This window comes from Homo sapiens, chromosome 8 (genome assembly GCF_000001405.40).
Source record: "Homo sapiens chromosome 8, GRCh38.p14 Primary Assembly".
Classification (NCBI taxonomy): Eukaryota; Metazoa; Chordata; class Mammalia; order Primates; family Hominidae; genus Homo; species Homo sapiens.
The window spans coordinates 56,178,982-56,199,241 of record NC_000008.11 but is presented as its reverse complement, the minus strand read 5'-3'; the positions used below and the strand labels follow the sequence as shown (position 1 = coordinate 56,199,241).

Here is a 20,260-nt window from a genome sequence, read left to right as displayed (position 1 = left end):
TGCTGTTCCTTCTCTGGCACCTCCTTTGCACTTTGTTTGGGTGGCACCTTTTTTCCACCTGTCCCCCCAACCACCAGCATTTTGGCATTCCCCAGGGTTCGCAGCATTCCCCAGTCCACTTCTCAGTGTACACTTTTCCTGAGCACCCGTTCCCACTCCTGCGGTACCTTTAGCTTGCAGCTTCTTGCTAATGAAGCCTTAGTCTCTACCTCTCTCTAGGGCCTCCATGTCTCTTTTCTGTTTACACTAACATCTCCACATCTATGTGCAAGACACCTTTCCTTTTATATCTTATTCATTCCACAAATTTTACAAAGTGCCTGCCACACAGGTCAAGTACCATGCTGGGTACTAAGCCAGGCCCCACCCACAATGAGCAAAGGACACAGTAGTTAGTAGAGCTCCCTCGGGGTGCAGTAGGCAGCATGAAGGAATTAAGAAGGAGTTCAGAGGTGAGGAGTCCTGGGGGCCAGGGAAGAGGGACCCTAAGAGACAGTGATCAGGGGAGACCTCTTGATAAAAGGCCCTTTGTATAGAGGCCTGAATGATGAGAAGGGGTGGGCCAGGAGTGACCTGAAGGGACGCTCCAGACAGAGGCCCTGAGGTCTGGAGGAGGAGCTCTACGTGCTGGAGGCAGAGGGAGCGAGATAGGGGACCGGGCAGAAAGCCATCTTGCTGGACTGTCTTGTAACGTCTATGAGGACCGCTGGCCCTGAGTGCAGTAGAACTCCGGAGCAGAGCGGGGGTTGTCCTTTGCAGGGTGGCTGTCACTTCCAGCCTCATCCTCATCTGTGCTGCCCTCTGCACATGGCTATAGGACCTGGGTGCTCCCGTCACCTCCTTCCTCCCCTGCCCCTTTGAGAGGCGTGTTGCTGGGGCACCCACAGCCTGCCTGCCTCAGCTGTGGTGACCCCTCTGTGCCTGCACAGCCACGTCCTTCTCACCGGCCCTGGAGCACTGCTCCATACCATGCGTGGGTATGCAGCTTCCTCTCGGGGCTGAGCCTTGGAGGGCAAGGACCACGTGCTGTCCTCCACCCCACTTTCTCTGTCTCAGAACCGGCACAGGGTAAATTCCTGGAGAGGAGTACTCTGTTTTCAGGGGCAGTCCAGAGGTTTGATTGTGGTGAAGGGAAGCTAGAGGAAGCCCTGAGCAGCGGTTAGAGGCTGTGTGATGCGGGCCATCCATTCCAGAGGGTGTCTGGGACGACATGAGTTCCAGGGAGAAGTCAGTAGGAGGAGGCCTGGGATCACTTCTTTGGAGTCACCCAGCCCCTTGTTAATTGTGAAGTGTGGAACAGCAAGGTTGGGAGAGAGAAGGTGGTTAAGTTTGTCTCTGCTGCTCCCTACCCACCCTGTTCCCTGCTCCCTCCATAGCTAAGCCCTGCGCAACAAGTACAGACAGACCTCCTGACCGCCACAAGGCCAGCCCTCACCTGCAGCAAGCCCTGTTACCATGGGGGTGGCAGAGACAACTACACATGCTCCAAAGAAAGACAGACACAGATGCATGAGGGAAAAGGATGCACACCCCCCAGAATACCCAGAGCAGGGGAGACCCACAATCCCAGACAGAGAAACACGTAGACCTAAGCACAGTGGGCGTGGGAGGCTGTATCTGTCTGTGCAGGTATGTGTAAATTATGTTTATATTTATATTTCAGGAGAAAGCCAGTGGGAGAAAGACAAACACAGAGAAAGAAGAGAGAAATACACCCAGTTCACACCCACAGAGGGGAAAGAGATGCACCAGCAACTCTGACTCTGTCTTTTCCCTGCTTGAGGGGAGACCCCAAAGTGGGGAAAGACACTGCACGTTCACCAGGATAGGCTGGGAAAAGACACTGAGGACACCTGGACTGGGGGAGAGAGTGACACATCCAGAAGGTGGAGGTGGGAGAGACAGATTCCAGGATGGGCAGGAGAAAGAGTTACACTCACGCCAGGATGTGAGCGGAGACGCACTCACTCCCACGGCAGAGGGAGACACACAGCCCCGGATGTGAGGGCAGGACACCAGTCCCACCAGGATTTGGGGAGAGAGGCACACATGCTCAGATGGGGGTACACACACAGAAGCATGCAGAGGTGGGAGAGAGACACAGACACCTGGTCTGCAGCAGGGAGAGAAAGACCCCCAGCGAGGAAGAGAGAGACAGACCCCCAGAGTTGGGGGGAGAGACAGAAATACACGCCAGAGTGGGAGGGCCCCAGAGATCCACAAACATACACAGCCCTGGAGGGGAGAGAGGAGCACACACACACACACACACACACACACACACACACACGCACACTAGGGAGGGAGAGGGTGCCTGCACCCCATGTGGGAACACAAGACAGAGCAACTCCAAAGGGAGGCGGCACATGTGTGCACACACATGCACACCCCCACGCATCTGGATGGGGTGAGGGGAGAGAGAGAGACACATGCATAGAGGAGGACACACACACATGTATTATGCACGGCAGGAGGCAGGAGGGAGGCCCACACCCTTGCAGAGGAGTTAAGACAGGCCAGGTGAAGGACAGCACACCAAGGGCAGTGACAGGAGACACGCGGGGTCAAGAGATGTGCACACGCTGCTCGTCTATGCGTGTGGTACTTGCACCATCCCCGAGACTTGGGGCAGGAAACGCTCGCGGTGCCACCCAGTTCTGACTGACGTGTCCTCACACCCCACTGGGTGTGCCCATAGAGCCAGGTCTGAATGGCAGTCAGCGCTTGGCCCCTGAAAGTACCTGAACTCTTCCTATCCTCCTCAGGTCACCCATATCCAGACAGAAGGTCACACCAAGTTCCTTTACCCTAATTAAAATGCTGGAAGTATACAGCGGAGGCATCACACACTCATATATCCGGTTCTATCCTCTGAGCGTGATGTACACACTTGAGAGTACAACAGTAGAGTGAAGAACCCCTTGGTTAAACCAATACAGTAAATGCTGGTGTATCACCAGGTTCAACAGTTAGTGCCTCCACAGCCAGGCTTGTTTCTTCTATCCCTTACCCATGCCCATCCCCATTCCCTCGGGCTTGTTTATTTTCCTGCGGGTGTGAAGTTATTTCATGCCATTTATATATTTATGATCATGTGCCTTTGGCTCCCCAGCTCGTTCTACTAGGGGTTCTCTTTTCCTCTGCTCCCTAGACAGCACCTTTCTGGCCAACTCTGGTTCCATGGCACTTCTGTGCTCCCCAAATTCCCCTGTGGTGCCCATGTTATAGCAGTGAGCACGCAGCTGGCTTGCCTTGCAGTTTGGTGTGTCCTCCCACACCCGCGAGACTAGGTCTGTCATCTTGATATCACTGCTCACCTGCACACAGCAGGCACTTGGGAGGTTTTGTGAGACAAGTGCCCCGAGCTGTAACAGCTCAAAGGAGAGACTTGTGTTGCCCATCTTGGGCTCTGTCTTCTCACCAACCCAGGGTTCCCTGGGCGCTGGCCCCCTCCCGGCTTGCACCGTCACCTGTTCTCCCACACGAAGCCAGGCGCCTTGAGCTTCAGGACCTCCTGTCTCCTTAGATTTGGGCTGAGGTGGCCTCAGGCAAGGGAACCTGCTCGGTGATCTCTCCAGCTGCTGGCTATGAACTTTGGGCCTCCTCACATCTGTCTCACCCCCTGCAGTCTTCACCAGCCCTGGACGCTGGCTTTCTGGGTCGTGGCTCCACCACCACCCTACCCCAGCCTCTCTGGCACCTGCCCTCTGCATGTTCTCCCCTGCTGGCCCAAGAAGGCTGGTTAGCTTCCATGAAGAGTGCAGGTGGTGGGCCAGCTAGCTCTGTAACAGACCCCGTGAACTGGGAAGTGACTCCCTTATCTGGAATAATAGTGCTGTCTGACTGCAGTGCTTGCCCTGTGCTGACTGTTCAGGGCACCTACACATAGTGATGCCATTTATCCTGGTAATGGCTCCCTAACATGGGTATTGTCTTGATTCCCAGTTATAGAGGAAGAAAATGAGCAGAGAGAATTTAAGTCACTAAGTATTAAATGAGATAATGCATGAAAAAAATTCTCAGCAAAACACCTGGTTCCATTCAAGTGGTCAAATGGTTTTTGGTTGGTTGTTCTAAACAAGCTTATTCACTCTATTTCATGAAATTTTGGCTAATAATTATGATAATAATAGTCTCTAATAGAACTAGAAATCTCTGATAGTCATTAGGTAACTTTACCCCCCAAGTTCACTAAGAAAATTGAGTCTGTCAGATATGCACCCTCAGCAGCTTCTTCGCTCACCACCCACCTTATTTGCTTTCTAACCCCTCCTTTTCTTGGCTGCAGAGGAGCTCTGCTCTTCTGCCCAAGGCTCATCCACTCTTTCACTGTCCCATTGAATATGGGATTGTGTTTGGTCCCACTGACTTCTTCCCTTCAGCCAGAGGAGGTGTTCAAGATTCTCCAGACCAAAACGGTTCAGAGTCTTCACTTGTCTCTGCCATCTCCATTCTCTTTCTCCTACAGGCCTTCACGTCTTTCTCAAACCACACCCGGCAGACTCCTGCCTCACCACTCCCCCGAAGCAACTTTGGCAAAGGTTTCATGATGGCCTCCTGCCCCACACGCATGCTGCACCCACATACACACATGCCACACACACACAAACACACACACGCCACACACACACAAACACACATACATTCACACACACACACACACACCCAGTGCTGAGTCCAGCAGATGCTCTTCCGGTTCCTCCACCTGCCTGCTCCATGACCGAAGTCTCTCCCACTGTAGTGCACCCACTGCATGCATGAGCCACCATTTTCTGCCACCTCAGCCTGACACAGCTCCTTGATCTTGCTACGCTCATTTATTCTCCACCTTTATTAGTTAAAAAATAACTAGTCATCATATGCTGAATAGTTACTTGATAGCCTAACTGCAATATTTCTTTTTCCTTTTTTTTTTTTTTTTTTTTGAGACAGAGTTGTGCCCTCTCACCCAGGCTGCAGTGCAGTTGCATGATCTCAGCTTACTGCAACCTCCGCATCCTGGGTTCAAGTGATTCTCTTGCCTCAGCCTCCTGAGTAGCTGAGACTACAGGCATGTGCCACCATACCCAGCACATTTTTTGTATTTTTTTAGTAGAGATGGGGTTTCGCTATGTTGGCCAGGCTGGTCTCAAACTGCTAGCCTAAAGTGATCCAACAGTCTTAGCTTATCAAAGTGCTGAGATTACAGGAATATTTCTTTCTAAAAAATAGTTTACCTAATGAAGGCCGGGCGTGGTGGCTCACGCCTGTAATCCCAGCACTTTGGAAGGCCGAGGCGAGTGGATCACGGGGTCGAGAGATCGAGACCATCCTGGCTAACATGGTGAAACCCCATCTCTACTAAAAATACAAAAAATTACCCAGGTGTGGTAGCAGGTGCCTGTAGTACCTGCTACCGAATAGCAGGTGCCAGCTATTTGGGAGGCTGAGGCAGGAGAATGGCGTGAACCCGGGAGGCGGAGCTTGCAGTGAGCCGGGATCGTGCCACTGCACTCCAGCCTGGGCGACAGAGTGAGACTCCGTCTCAAAAAAAAAAAAAAAAAAAAGTTTACCTAATGAAAGATCTGACTGTTAAACATTTGTTACTGTGTCACTTGTACATCAGTCTCGAATGCTTAGAAATAACCGTTTAGCCTCAGTAGAGTAGAATTATCAGTTGATTGGTCTGTGGCCTTTGTAGCAGGGTCAAGGGTACAAAAATGATCATGTGCATTCCTTAGGTTGGAGAAGATGTAAACATCATAAACTGTATAAATAATTTCTGACTTTGTCATTGTCAACCAGCTTTTTTTATGTACCCAGAGCTTGTGGTACATGTACATGTAGGTTTACTGTGTAGGGTGAAGTGTAGTGCTGCCTTTAGGTGTTTTCAAAAAACTTTTTATTGTAGAATATTTTAAAGATATACAGAAGTACAGAGAACAATAGAATGAATCCTCACACCCATCGCCAGTTTCAAGTCACCACACCTCAGCAGCCAGTCTTGTTTCCTTCGTCCCCTACCCATACCCATTGCCTCTCCTGCAGACTCTTTTGATGCAGTTATTTCATATCATTTGTATATTTCTTGGTGTTTCCAAAAAGTACAGACTCTTTTTAAAGGTATAATTACAATACAATTATCACACACCAAAAGAACAATAATTCCTTAATATCTAGTGAGTTTTCAAATCTGCCTACTTATCTTTTGTTTTTAAAGATTTCCATGATCCAAATCCAGTAAGGTCCATACCTGCTGTTAGCTGTTATATTTCTTAAAGTCTTTTTTGACCCACAGTTACTCATTTTTTTTTCTTCCTTAAAACGCATTTGTTAAAGAAACGGGTTTTTTGTCTTTTGTGTTTGTGTCTGTCTGTCTGTCCTGTAGTGTTTCCCCCAAGTCTGAGTTCTGCGGATTGCATCCCTGTTGTATTCTTTACACGCTCTGTAAGGTTCAGGTTCTGCTTTTTGCCTCCAAACACGTTATAGTCTCTTAAAAAGGAAAGCTGGAAAGATTGAATGTGGAAGAAATACATATTGAATTAAGTGCCATAAGCAATCATGATAACATTGCTACCAATATAGTGAATATAGCTATTTATCATAGCTGTAGTGTTATGGTGTAGAATTAGTGTTCCCATCATTTTAAAAAATGCATTAAAAACTAACAGATATTTCCTTCTGGAATGTTCTTCTATAAAACTATGTAACACTTTAAAAAATTGAATTGGGATCTTTGTTTTGTATCTTGCTTTTTAAAAATGTAACATTGTATAAAGATTGTTTCCCATGTACTTGTATGTTACTTCTTTGTATTCCTCAAAAGCTATACCACTTGAGAATGAATGACCACAGTTTATTTAGCCTTCCCTAGTTGTTGGCGAGTAGGTAGTTTCCAGTCCAGTCTTTAAATAATGCAGTAATGAATGACCTCATGCATGAATCTTTATGGGTGTCTCAGGTTATTTCTTAAGTTAAATGCTTAGGTGTAAAATGAGTGGGCGAAAAGATAAGTGCCCACTTTTCTTTGGCTTGGCAATTGCATGGCAGCTTTGACCTCCAGGGAAGACTTACAGTCGCTGTCGCTGGTAGTACACAGGAGTGCCCATTTCCTTCACTTTCCCCACCATGGGCCACAGCCACTTACAGCAACCTTCCCTCTCTCTACACTTGTTGATTTCTTTTGTTTTAATTTGTCCTTCGTGTTTTCCATTCTTAGCCATCACCACCTGCCGTCATTGCATTTCCCTTTGATACCTGGGGCTGCTAATCTTCCCTGTACCAAAAATCCCAGTTAACCCCAACTTGTTATCGTTTTGCCTAAAAGATTGACACTGAGTGAGGGTGCATAGTACATTCCTCAATATGAAATGCTTGATATGTGTAGATTTGTAGTGTCTACTTTGGCAGTTCAGAACCTGTGTTCCTCCTTTCTGGGTTTTTTTTTTTTTTTTCCTGTGTTTTAGATTATTGATGTTGCCAGATAAATGAAAGATCACCCTATGTTAATACCACAGGTTCTGTTAAGGTGGGGAGAAAAACACACCTGCCAAACTCTGAATTAAATGGAATTTGTAAAGCAGATAAATTAAGGGAGTAATTATTCACATTACCCAACAATTTGCCTTTAAAAAAAAAAGGATTGAAATTGGCACCTCTTTTGGTACCTTTAGTTATTATCTATCTGAGCAATGTCAATTGAGAATCTAAAGTATTAGAACTCCAAAAGTCATCATCGAAGTGCTCTGAAATTACAGTGCATACTAAAAATACCTCACATTTGCATAATGCTTGTAAAGTCGCATCATTGTCTGGAACACCCCACCCCTGTGAATTTGAACCCTAAAATGGCCATTGCTGACCACAGGCTCGCGTCCTCTGCCTCCACTTCCTTCCTTGCTCCTGCTGACTTTGTCTCTGCTGCTACAGTTTATGCTTCTGGGCCTCCTTCTCTCTAGCTCAGGTCTCACATACTCCCTGCTGCCACCGCTGGCTCCTGCTAGTGCTCTAGAATGTTCTGCTTCTCCACTGCTCTCTACTTCATCTTCCTGCTCCCAGCCCTGGGAGAATCCTCTCCTCCTGCCTTTTCCAGATGACTCAGGACAGTGACATTACTGGGTGATCTAAAAGCAGCGCGTGTAAAGCAGGCCTGCAGTGATGGCATGAGTCCAGGGCCTGTGGTCGTTTGGCCCTCCTTGGTCACTCTCCAGCCCTGTCATGGGAACATACCCCCATTCCCTTTAAATTCCGTAGCGCCGGGCTCCCACGTTCCTCCAGCACGTCAAGCCACATTTCCCATGCCTGCCCTTGCACGTGCTATTTCCTCTGCTGGAATGTTCTTACCCCTTTAGTTCACTGGACCAATACCTACTCATCCTTGAAAACTGCTCATGTGTCACCTACTCTATGAAGCAAAATTAATTACTGTGTCCTCCCCCTGTGCCTTGATGGTCTTTGGTTTGGCATCTGCACACACCCTGTCCTCCTCTATCTCTTCTTATGCCCTGGGTACTGCCCCCTCTAATTCATTATCCTTTCTCTCCCTTTCCCTCTCCACCTGATCCTTCCTGTCAGCATTATAAACATGACAAATCTCTGCCATCTTTTAAAAAATAAAACAGTGACAGCTCACTGTCCTCTCTGTACCTTCCCCTTCAGCTGATAGCATTTCTCCAAAGAGGAATGTGGACTTAGTGCCCCCAGTTCCTCATGCAGCACTCCTTCCTCACCCCAGGCCTCCATTCTGGTTCCCCAAAGTATAATAGTTCTTTTCAATTTTACTAAAAACCTGCATGTCACACAACCAGGAGGAAGTAGGGTTTAGTCCTTACCTTGGCTCTACCTCCCTGAAACATTCTCTTCCCTTGGCTTCTGTGACCTTAGAGCATCCTGGCTTTCCCTGCTACTCAGTGGCATACCTTCGACCTGTTGCTGGCTTCCCCACTCTGTCCATTCTCCAGATAGTCCCTCCTTTCCCCTCTCCGTGCCCCTTTCCACACCTTGCAGTGCCATGGTCTCTGCTGTATGCCATCTTCCCCCTAGTCCTTACCCTGCTCTTCAAATCCTTTGCCACTCACTGTGTTATGTGCCTTACATGCAGTATCATTTATTCCTCACAACAACTCTGTAGGGCTTCATTATCTCACTTCATAGCTGAGGAAACTGAAACTGAAGAAAGATAAGTCATTTACCCAAGGCCGAGAGCTAGTCCACTTGACTTGCTGTCACCAGGTGAGATTGCTTCCACACCACTGGCTGAGTGACCTGTCCTGCAGCCCTTCCATCTCCAGTTACACTTGTTAAAGCAGTGGCTCTCAGCCTTCAGTCGACTCCAGCCTTGCCTTTCTGCAGCCTCCCTTCCCACCACTTTCCTTAAGACACCATCAGCTCCAGTCACAGGAGGAATAAGCATTTCTACCCTAGTCTGCCCTTTTCTTCTTCTCCCCCGACTGGGACGCACTCCCCACCTCTCCAGCCTCACCTGTGCAGGCCCACATCTTACCTCACCCCAATCTCAGTTCAGTTGGCTCTTTTGTCCCAAATTCCCATCTCCAAAGCTTGGAAAGATCTTTTCTTTCTGTGAATTCCCACTGTACCTAATCTATACTTACCTTGTGGCATCTTCTACCTTCTGTTTTGCATTATCAATAATTATAAATTATGAGTATCCTTTTGGGATACCTCCTTACTAGACCCCAAGCTCCTTGATGGTAGAACTGGTGACTGATTAATCTTTGTGTTCACCATGATACCTTGATAGTTAAATTAAATGATAAGGATTTGTTTATCTGTAAGTTTGTTCTTATATCCCTTACCCGGAGCTCTGTGCAGATAGGGGGTCTATACTGGTCTGTTGGGGAAGACGAACTTTCTGGACATGACCACAAGATGGCAACAGTGACTGCAGCGTCCTGATATCTGTAGAGGGTGGGCCAAGTCAAGAAAGAGAACAATGTCTTCTTGATTGCAGGAGACTCAAGGGAAATCCAAGAGAATTTTCAAATTTAAAGCATTGTGTCAATGCCCAGTTATTCACAGAGGTGAGCAAATAGATTGGACAACTGTTTTCTTCCGTGGGTTCATTTGGCCAACAGCATGGAAAGCTCTCCTCCTGCCCTTCCTCTCATCTTCCTTTTATTCATTCAGCACATACTTGAGTTTCCCCTGTGTGCATCCACTGTTCTAGGTACTAGACATACAGAACTGGTCAGTAAAAGGCAGGATCCTGTTCTGATAGAGCTTACATTTTGTGGCCTTCACTGGGACCCAGTGGAAGATATTGCAGACAGAACCAAGAGTTTCCTTGCTGTTTTTTGTTACTTCTGGAGTCATCTTTTCCCCTTTGCCCCAGCATGGATTGATCCATAGTTTTATATTATCCCCACACGTTTCATTTCAACAAGCAAAGGCACCACTGGTCAGCGAATCACAGTGACTAATTTTGTTTTAGCCATGATTATTGGTGGCCTTCTCCCCTGCTTCCCAGTTACCCAGTTAATCAAGAATCGACTGTGTTCTTCTTACAGTTGAAGATATGGAAGTTAAAGAAAGGTAAAAAATCATGTCTAATGTTGCACAGGTGGATACATGAGAAAGTACATACTCAGGTCTTGGTATCATTCATTCCTTTCTGATCATTGTCAGTAAAGTTTTTTAAAGCAAAAGAAAGCAAACAAGTCCAGCATTGTGATAGGTGCCTATAGACAAATTTGACATACACTGTGTCTGTGCTAAAGGTGACTTATAAGGTGGACCTAATGTAAGTTTACTTAAAGTTGCATGTAGTGTTTAGAAACATTTCTTCAAGGGGTAAACAAGAGTGTAAGAAAAATATACACGTAATAATTTAGAAGCATCAGCTATCACACATTGCTTGTTTTAAGACTAAGAAGTTACTATCTGTTAGAGCAGCCTCCTTTGCGGTATGAATCTTAGTTGAGTATTCATTTTTTTTCCCGTATCAGATCCCTGTCCCCTCCCTGCATCTTCCCCGCATACCAAATGGCTCTGCAAGATGGGATTCAGTTCCATGCAACCTCTTGCCAAACTTGCCTTCATTTCAGGAGGACGAGAGAAGGGGTTTAATTTGAAAGGCTATGTGAAAGAGGCATCCTGTGTTGTAGAACTCACAGTGTGGAATCTTGGCTCCTATGTGCTTCAGTCGAGTAGATTTTTTTCTGACATGTAGCTATTTTCTCTGATTTTTAGCTATTATAATATTTTCATAGGTGCATTATCATCTTTTACCAACCAAAGTTAAGCCATAAACAGGGGTCAGTCCATTGCTGGATAGTCAATAATTACATATTACCCAAGTTACTTTTCAATTTAACATGCAAACTGACTGCTGGCTTCCGGTGGATCAGTTTTACTTTAGCTGTGATTTGGGTTTATGTATGACCATGGCCACCATAAAATTTAAGGTACACCCTGCCTATGCCACAGAGATGAGTAAGATCAGAAGTATGCTACTTCACCAAATATCACTTTTAATACAAATCTCATTATATATGAGCCTTGTTCTCAGGAACTATTCCCATTGTTTGTCCTTCAAAGATTCCATTGACTGTGATTCCGTATAAGAGCCTGTGCCCAAAAAAAACAAACCCTTATTTTTTAAATCCATATCAGGCCAGGGCAGCACTTACTTCTGAGTAACACTCTGAATATAACAGCTTTGCATTTTGAGCCCTCAGAACTATGCTAGAGACTTTACATACATCACTTTAATTCACACACTACTGCAAGGTAGATGTTTTTCCCATCCTACAGAGGAAAATGCTGAAGAGAGACTAAATACATCATTGAAAGTAGTTACACAGATAGTGAAGGTCAGACAGGATTCAAGCCTAGTTCTGATTCTTGCCTTTGTCTCTCTGCTGCTATTCCCCTGCACTGCTTTAGGTTCTGAATCAGGGCAAGGATTCATGTTTTCGGGCCCTCTCCAAGTCAGAGTTTTAAAGTAGCATTGCAAAGGTGATTTCCAGAACTATACTGCCTGAGATGATGGAAAGACCTTCTCTCTGTAACACATCTGTGTATCGCAGTAGGGAAGGAGACCAGGGGAATGGGGGCAAACTGAGGAGTGTATCATCATGCAGTGTAGGGGCCACCCCAGATCCTGGTGCTGAAGCTTCAAGAAGGAGGAGGCTGGGACTTTGCATTGATGGGTTTTAACCCCATTTTGTTAATTAACTGTCAGCAAACACTGCAAAGGCTTAAGTGAGTTTATAGTTTAGGAAGGTCAGGCCAGGCACAGTGGCTTATGCCTGTAATCCCAACACTTTGGGAGGCTGAGGCAGGTGGATTACCTGAGGTCAGGAGTTCGAGACCAGCCTGACCAACATGGTGAAACCCCATCTCTATTAAAAATACAAAATTAGCCAGGCGTGGTAGAGCATGCCTGTAATCCCAGCTACTCAGGAGGCTGAGGCAGGAGAATCACTTGAATACGGGAGGCGGAGGTTGCAATGAGCTAAGATCGCGCCATTGCACTCCAGCCTGAGCAACAAGAGCGAAACTCGGTCTCAAAATAATGTAATAATAGTAATTTAAGAAGGTCACTTTTTTTTTTTTTTTTAATGCTAACCAGCTGGACATGGTGGCTCACGCCTATAATCCCAACACTTTAAGAGGCCAAGGCTGGCAGATCAGTTGTGGTCAGGAGTTCAAGACCAGCCTGGGCAACATGGCAAAACCCCGTCTCTACCAAAAATACAAAAAATTAGTTGGGCGTGGTGACATGCACCTGTGGTCCTACCTACTCAGGAGGCTGAGGTAGGAGGATCACTTGAGCCCAGGAGGCGGAGGTTGCAGTGAGCCAAGATTGCACCACTGCACTCCAGCCTGGATGACAGAGTGAGATCCCATCTCAAAAAAAATAAAAATAAATAAAAATGAATAAAATAACCTAATTAGAAACTGAAAGGAGAATGACCACTTAATTGTTTCGGAGACCAACAAAGGCACACAAAGATTGGTTGCTTTCTGAAGAATCTAAAAATGGCATTGGGTATAGGAGTTGGGGAAGCAAGTTGTATAGGCACCTACACTTAAGATAATTTGTCAATTATACAAATAATTTTTAAAGTTTAAGCCCCTTCTGACATGACACGTCCATGGCTCCTTCACCCTTCTTGTCTCCTGCAGAGCTCCAGTCTGCCTCTCTTGCTCTTAGCTCCAAAAACAGTGAATCCCCTGAAGTTACCTAGACCCACCATACAGTTTGTGACTCCCTCTACCTGGAGTACCTGCCCATGCCTGGCTAATACTTGTTCTTTTGTTACCTTGGCTTCTGTGTTACTTCATTTGTTTTATTGAATTAATCAAAGGCAAGCCTATCAATTAGCATGGCACTTCTTTCTTTTAAAGCAACTGCTAATGAACATTTTTTAAAAGGCTATGCAGAGGCTGAATTGAAACACTTCAGGGGGTACTTCCTTTGGTATTTGATAAATGGAACGTATCCCAGAACTATTTATCATCCGTAGGTCTCAGTTCCAGTTAGATGTATTCTTGGAGACTTTAAATCATGTAGTGTGATATGCCAGCCCATAAAGCAACAGGTGAACCGAACTGGCTTCCTCCAAGTTTGACAGCTGAGAATGTGGCTCTAAAACCTGCCTAGATATATATCCTTTTCTAGTAAGGTCTGAGTGCAACTCACATTTAAGCCAATATTCCTTTCCTCTTTTTTCCCTCCCTCTGAATGGGAAGGAGAGATTTTAGTCATTTTGAGTCATTGCACTTAAAGGATTTTAGTTTATCAGTTTGCAGAAAGTTTTATTTTCGTACTTCTGTAAATTTATGTGATGATGAGTTTCTCATCATTTTGTTTTTTATAATACAAAAACTCTGCCATTTTATTGTTTTTTAACAGTTTTGGGGGGTATAATTGATATTGTATAAACTGCCCATATGTGAAGGGTGCTTGCAGTTTTCACATATATATGCATACGTCCCTGAAACCATCACCATTGTCAACATAGTGAGCATATCCGTCATTTCTAAAAGTTTGCTCATGGCCTTTTGTGATGGATCCCTCCCTATCCTACCTTCTGTCCCTAGACAACCTCTGATCTGCTTCCTGTCCTCTATGGATAAGCTTGCATTTCCTAGACATTTGTATAGATGGAATCGTGCAGTATGTACTCTTTGTTTTGCCCAACTTCTTTCATTCAGCCTGCTTATTTTGAGGTTCATCCATGTTACTGTATGTATCAATAGCTTATTCCTTTTTGCTGCTGATTAGTAGCCCATTATAGGAATATACTACAACTTGTTCATTTGTTTTGGGGTTTTTGTTTTTGTTTTTCTGAGACACAGTCATACTCTGTCACCCAGACTGGAGTGCAGTGGCATGATCTTGGCTCACTGCAACCTCCGACTCTCAGGTTCAAGCATCCCAGGTTCAAGCCTCCCAAGTTCAAGTGATTCTCTTGCCTCAGCCTCTGGAGTAGCTGAGATTACAGGCGCCTGCCACCACAACCGGCTAATTTTTGTATTTTCAGTAGGGATGGGGTTTCACCATGTTGCCCAGGCTGGACTCGAACTCCTGACCTCAAATGATCCATTCACCTTGGCCACTCACTCACCTTGGCCTCCCAGAGTGCTGGGATTACAGACATGAGCTACCGTGCCCGGCTAAAACCTGATTTTATCCATTCACACAAGGATAGACCTTCGGGTTGCATCTAGTTTTGACTATTATAAACAAAGCTACTATGAATAGTCATGAACAAGTCTTTGTGAAGACCTATGTTTTCAGATCTCTTGGTAAATAGCTAGATGTGAAATGCTGTGTCATATGGTAGACACATGTTCAACTTTTAAATAAATTGCCAAACTGTTTTTCAAAACAATTGTACCATTTTTACCTTCCTGTCCATGGTAGATAGGAATTCTATTTGTTTCACATTCTCAGCAGCTCTTGATACTGTCCAGTGTTTTTAATTTTGGTCATTCTAATGGGTAGATAGCATTATCTCACTGTGGTATTAATTTGCATTTCCCTAATGATCAGTGATCTTTTCGTGTGCTCCTTTACCATTCATATATTTTCATTGGTGAAATGTCTGATCAGATCTTTTGCTCATTTGTTAATTGAGTTGTTTTTTATTGTTGAGTTTTAGAAGTTCTTTATATATTCTGGGTGCAAGTAGTTTATCAACTTACAGTTGATCTCTGCTTTGCAGAGATGTTGTTCTAATCTTCTAATGGCTTGTCCTTTTTATTCTCTTAACATTGTCTTTTGAGGGGAAGTTTTACATTTTGATGAAATCCGACTTATCAGTGTGTTTATTTTATGGGTTGTGCTTTTGGTGTTGTGACCAAGGACTTTTTGACTAAATGAATGCCACAGAAATTTTTCTGCTTTCTTCCAGAAGTTTTATAGTTTTAGGTTTTATATTTAGGTTCATGATCCATTTAGAGTTAAGTTTTCTATATGGTGTGAGATGTGATTCCAATTTCATTTTCTTGATGTGTAGATATCAAACTTTTCCAGCAGCATTTGTTAAAAAAACATTATTTTTGGTGAAATAATTTTTTCTGATTATAAAGACATTTGTAAAGATTGTAAAGACATTGTAAAGATTATAAAGACATTTGTATAATGTAGAAAAGTATAAAGCTTATATCTTCCTAATCTTCTGTTTGTAATTTACCTAGGTACATTTAACAGTATTGGGAGAAGGAGAGCTAGTTTTAAGTGCATACTTTTAAAAAATTGGAATAATAGTGTAAATGCTTACTGTATGTCCTGCTTTTTACAATTTTAACATTGTAACTTTCCCCACATAACTTAGTATTCTTTAACTGCTCTTTCCCATAGGATTTAATATTCTTTAACTGCATGGTTTTTAATGGCTGCATAGCTGTTCTGTCACATGCATATCACACTTCACCTCTTCTGACATTATCAATTTTTAATCTTAAAATATACTTTGAACATCTTTATACTTAAATATTTTTTATTTTTGCTTAAATTTTTCTAAATGAATTATCAGGTCAACATATATTAACTTTTATATGGCTTTGATTACATAGTTGCACAATACATTCCAGAAAGGTTTCAACAATTTACACTCCCATCAGCAGTAACTAAGCAATTTAATCCTTTATTGCAAGTTTTGTTTGTTTGTTTTTGTAAAACCCTCAAGGATACCCTGGACACTCCTGTGCTTCTCTTAAAGGCAAATATTTTTCCCCTAGCCAAGTGCCATTCTCCTTTCTCATTCTTCCCAGACATAGGACCCTTCTACTCAGCACTGGCCAAGGTGAGCAAACTCCATGCATTTCTTGCCTTTGCTACCAAAAAACTTAGCAGGATGAACATACCTCCCTCCTAAGTCTAGTTTGATAAAGAAGCCCCTTTTCTTATCCAGGGCAAAAGCCTCTCCATCTTCTCTAGATCCCATTCTACCCTGATTCTTCCAAGAATGCCCCACTTTCTTCCCCGCCTCTTTGTCCTCAGCATGGAAGCATTCTCTAGTCTCTCCCCCTGGGATCTTGAGTTTCCCCCTACCTTGTTTTTCTCTTCTCTTTAGGTGCGAAGCTCCTAGAAAGAAAACATCCTCTTGTTGAATATCATTTGCTTATCACCCAATGAGCTATCCTTATTTACACATTCTCATTCTCCCTCCTCCCATTCTCTCACTCCCTCCCGCCCCACCCAATAACTTCTCTTGCTGAAGTTTGGTGTCCTCATGCCTAAGTGGTGAACCTATGGGCCAGTTCTGTAGCTCTTAGCATTTTTATCTTTGTGGTTTCCGCCACATTTTTCTTCCTTCTCCTTGAAGTTCTATCTCTGGTCTTTCTCCCCTTAAATTAGCTGATTTTGCCTCATAGAGGTGATCTTTAGGCTCTATCAGCAATTAACCAGTAACTTGGCTTGAATCTGTCTCTGTAAGAGTTGGCTGTACAACTATCATTGTCTTTCTTCCTCATATCTCTTTTTGTTAATACTATTAGGCACATAAGTGGACTTTCTTCTAGTAAATCTTATTTTTGCTGGTTTTCATCTCCGCTTTGGATAACTCCAACACATATCTTCTGTGTCTCATTCAAACAAGCACTTCCTTTCCTCCCTCTCCCGTCCTACCTCCCCAAGCATTTGCTGTTCTCAGTGCTTTCAATCCATCTCATAATGAGTACAAGAGTGTGAACAGTCCAGCCCATTGGGCACTTTTCTCATCTGAATCCGTACAGCATGTATAAATTACACTTCACGGTAGCCAGAAGGTCATCTTAGAATCTAATCATCTGTGGTTCTAATCTCTGACTTCTTTTTTGGCAGTCATGCCCTCCCCTACAACCACACACACACTTTTTTCTTTGTCTTTCTTAATTGTACATTTTTTAAGGCAAAAATCACCAAATATCCATAGTACTCTTTTCCTTTTCTGACCTTCTGTGGTACTTTTTTATACCATATAATATTGTTTTTAAATGTTGATTTGTCACTCTGATACCACGTTATGGCAGATCTTATTTAACATTTATATTTCTTAACTTGACAAAAGGTATATATTCTTTTTTTATATACATACTTTAAGTTCTGGGATACATGTGCAGAACGTGCAGGTTTGTTACATAGGTATACACGTGCTATGGTGGTTTGTTGCACCCATCAACCCGTCATCTATATTAGGTATTTCTCCTAATGCTATCCCTCCCCCACCCCCACCCCCTGCCAATGACAGGCCCCGGTGTGTGATGTTCCCCTCCCTGTGTCCATGTGTTCTTATTGTTCAACTCCCACTTATGAGTGAGAACATGTAGTATTTGGTTTTCCGTTCTTGTGGTAGTTTGCTGAGAATGATGGTTTCCGGCTTCATCCATGTCTCTGCAAAGGACATGAACTCATCCTTTTTTATGGCGGCATAGTATTCCATGGTGTATATGTGCCACATTTTCTTAATCCAGTCTATCATTGATGGACATTTGGGCTGGTTCCAAGTCTTTGCTATTGTGAACAGTGCCACAATAAACATACATGTGCATGTGTCTTTATAGTAGAATGATTTATAATCCTTTGGGTATATACCCAGTAATGGGATTGCTGGGTCAAATGGTATTTCTAGTTCAAGATCCTTGAGGAATCACCAAACTGTCTTCCACAATGGTTGAACTAAGTTACACTCCCACCAACAGTGTAAAAGCATTCCTATTTCTCCACATCCTCTCCAGCATCTGTTGTTTCCTGACTATTTAATGATTGCCATTCTAACTGGCGTGAGATGGTATCTTATTGTAGTTTTGATTTGCATTTCTCTAATGACCAGTGATGATGAGCTTTTTTTCATATGTTTGTTTGAAACATTTCATATGTTTCAAATGTCTTCTTTTGAGAAGTGTCTGTTCATATCCTTCGCCCACTTTTTGACTGGGTTTTTTCTTGTAAATTTGTTTAAGTTCCTTGTAGATTCTGGATATTATCCCTTTGTCAGATGGATAGATTGCAGAAATTTTCTGCCGTTCTATAGGTTGCCTGTTCACTCTTTGATAAACCTGACAAAAATAAGCAATGGGGAAAGGATTCCCTATTTAATAAATGGTGTTGGGAAAACTGTCTAGCCATATGCAGAATACTGAAACTGGACACCTTCCTTACACCTTATACAAAAATTAACTCAAGATGGATTTAAGACTTAAACGTAAGACCTAAAACCATAAAAACCCTAGAAGAAAACCTAGGCAATACCATTCAGGACACAGGCATGGGCAAAGACTTGATGACTGAAACACCAAAAGCAATGGCAACAAAAGCCAAAATTGACAAATGGGATCTAATTAAACTAAAGAGCTTCTCCACGACAAAAGGTATATATTCTGCAGCCACAACTAACCTGTGTGCTCCTACGGAACAGGGATCATGTCAGTCTATACCCACAGTAACTCAGACTGGAACCATACATAATAGGTGTTGGTAATGTTTATTCCATCAGTGTCAGATATTCGTCTTAGGAGAGTGGTAACCATGTATAATTGAGCCTTGACCCTCTGTTGTAGGGAAATGAAGCAGGTGATTTTCTGCATAGAACTTGTGGCTTCTTTTTCTCTCTTAGTTAATATCCCTAGAGATCAGTCTTCATAACCTGCACCAACAGACGGATGCAAACATTGAATACTTCAGAATACATTTTGCATTTTCTTTGTATGTCGTTGAGGATGGACATGACCTGGGAATTTAATTGAAAACAAGCAATAATCGCATCATAAAGACTAATTCAAGAGCTCAGAAATTGTCCCTGGCTCCTTATTCTGCCTCTGCTTGAGGGTGCTCAGTGGCTTGCACCCTTCTCTGTGGACAGGTGGCCTGGTCTCTGACTGAGGAAAGCACTCATGGGGCAAGATTTCTCCCATAGCAATTGTTAAGGACAAGATAGACACCACAAAAGGTTTTTCTGAAAACTGTGTTGCAGAGAAGATAATGGGTGTGTTTAGAACATAAATAAAATAAGCAGCAGTTTTGAGAAATGACAGTAAACTTGAAATAATTTATCAAAAATGTGAATAATCTAGATAACTGTGATTCGGGAGGAAATATATAAATCTAGGGATATTAATTTGTGTACTTTTCATTTTTCCATGTACTATACATTTTTAACAGGATTTAAGATACATTTTTCAATAAAGTGCAAAGAATGTGAATAAATGATAATGAATTAAAAGCAGTTTGGTTCATATGCCATTAACCAGATTGGCCTGACTTTTGGAATTTAAAACTAACTCTTCTTTTCTTTTTAGGTTGCCTCTTGGTGCTGCCTTGGCCGTATTTGGCACCCAGAATGCTTCATTCTGTGACGGTCTATTAATAAGGTTGCCTTGCTAGAGTTTGGAGCAGGGCCTCAGGTAGGTGGCTTTTATCATTATATGGCATGACTTTCAAAGTGATTAATTATTCCAGTTCCTAAATACTATAAGATATAATATTAAAAGCTTTGAAAAGCATGCCACATAATAAGCATGCCACTTACAATCTTAGGGTCTATCAGTATGTACTGTGATGGGGACTTCAGTAATAATTATGGTCGAATGGGAGGCTTGAAATACTAGCAAGGAGCAGTCTTCCTCACTCTTTGCACAAAACACATAGCTGCTGTAAAAACTTAATTTGTTCCTGTTCCCCAGATAGCCCACAGATGTACTCTTAAGCTCTTCTTTCTCTAAATCTTGCACAGTGATACAGTATCCCATGTTGCCCTTATATCTTTTTTTTTTTTTTTTTTTTTTTTTTGTCTCCTGGGCGGGATCCTATTACCTATGGGCAGGTGGAGAG

General features: G+C 43.5%; 1 protein-coding gene across 4 annotated transcripts in view, besides 1 other annotated feature; it reads left to right on the top strand.

Moving 5' to 3' along the window:
* Positions 1-20,260, top strand: part of PLAG1 (PLAG1 zinc finger) — a 50,365-nt gene that overhangs the window by 12,032 nt on the left and 18,073 nt on the right. For 2 of the 4 annotated variants that reach the window (NM_002655.3, XM_017013576.2), the window contains exon 2: positions 19,729-19,833. The exons of the other annotated variants lie outside the window; for them this stretch is intronic. The gene's annotated coding sequence lies outside the window, so the exon portion shown is untranslated. The remainder of the gene's footprint in view (positions 1-19,728; positions 19,834-20,260) is intronic. 4 annotated transcript variants of the gene reach the window in all.
* Positions 7,954-8,013: an enhancer, noted in NCBI's record as "active region_27399". NCBI's record gives its function as "activates an Ori minimal core promoter by ATAC-STARR-seq in GM12878 lymphoblastoid cells {active_cell/tissue: GM12878}" and the evidence as "EXISTENCE:reporter gene assay evidence [ECO:0000049][PMID:35858748]".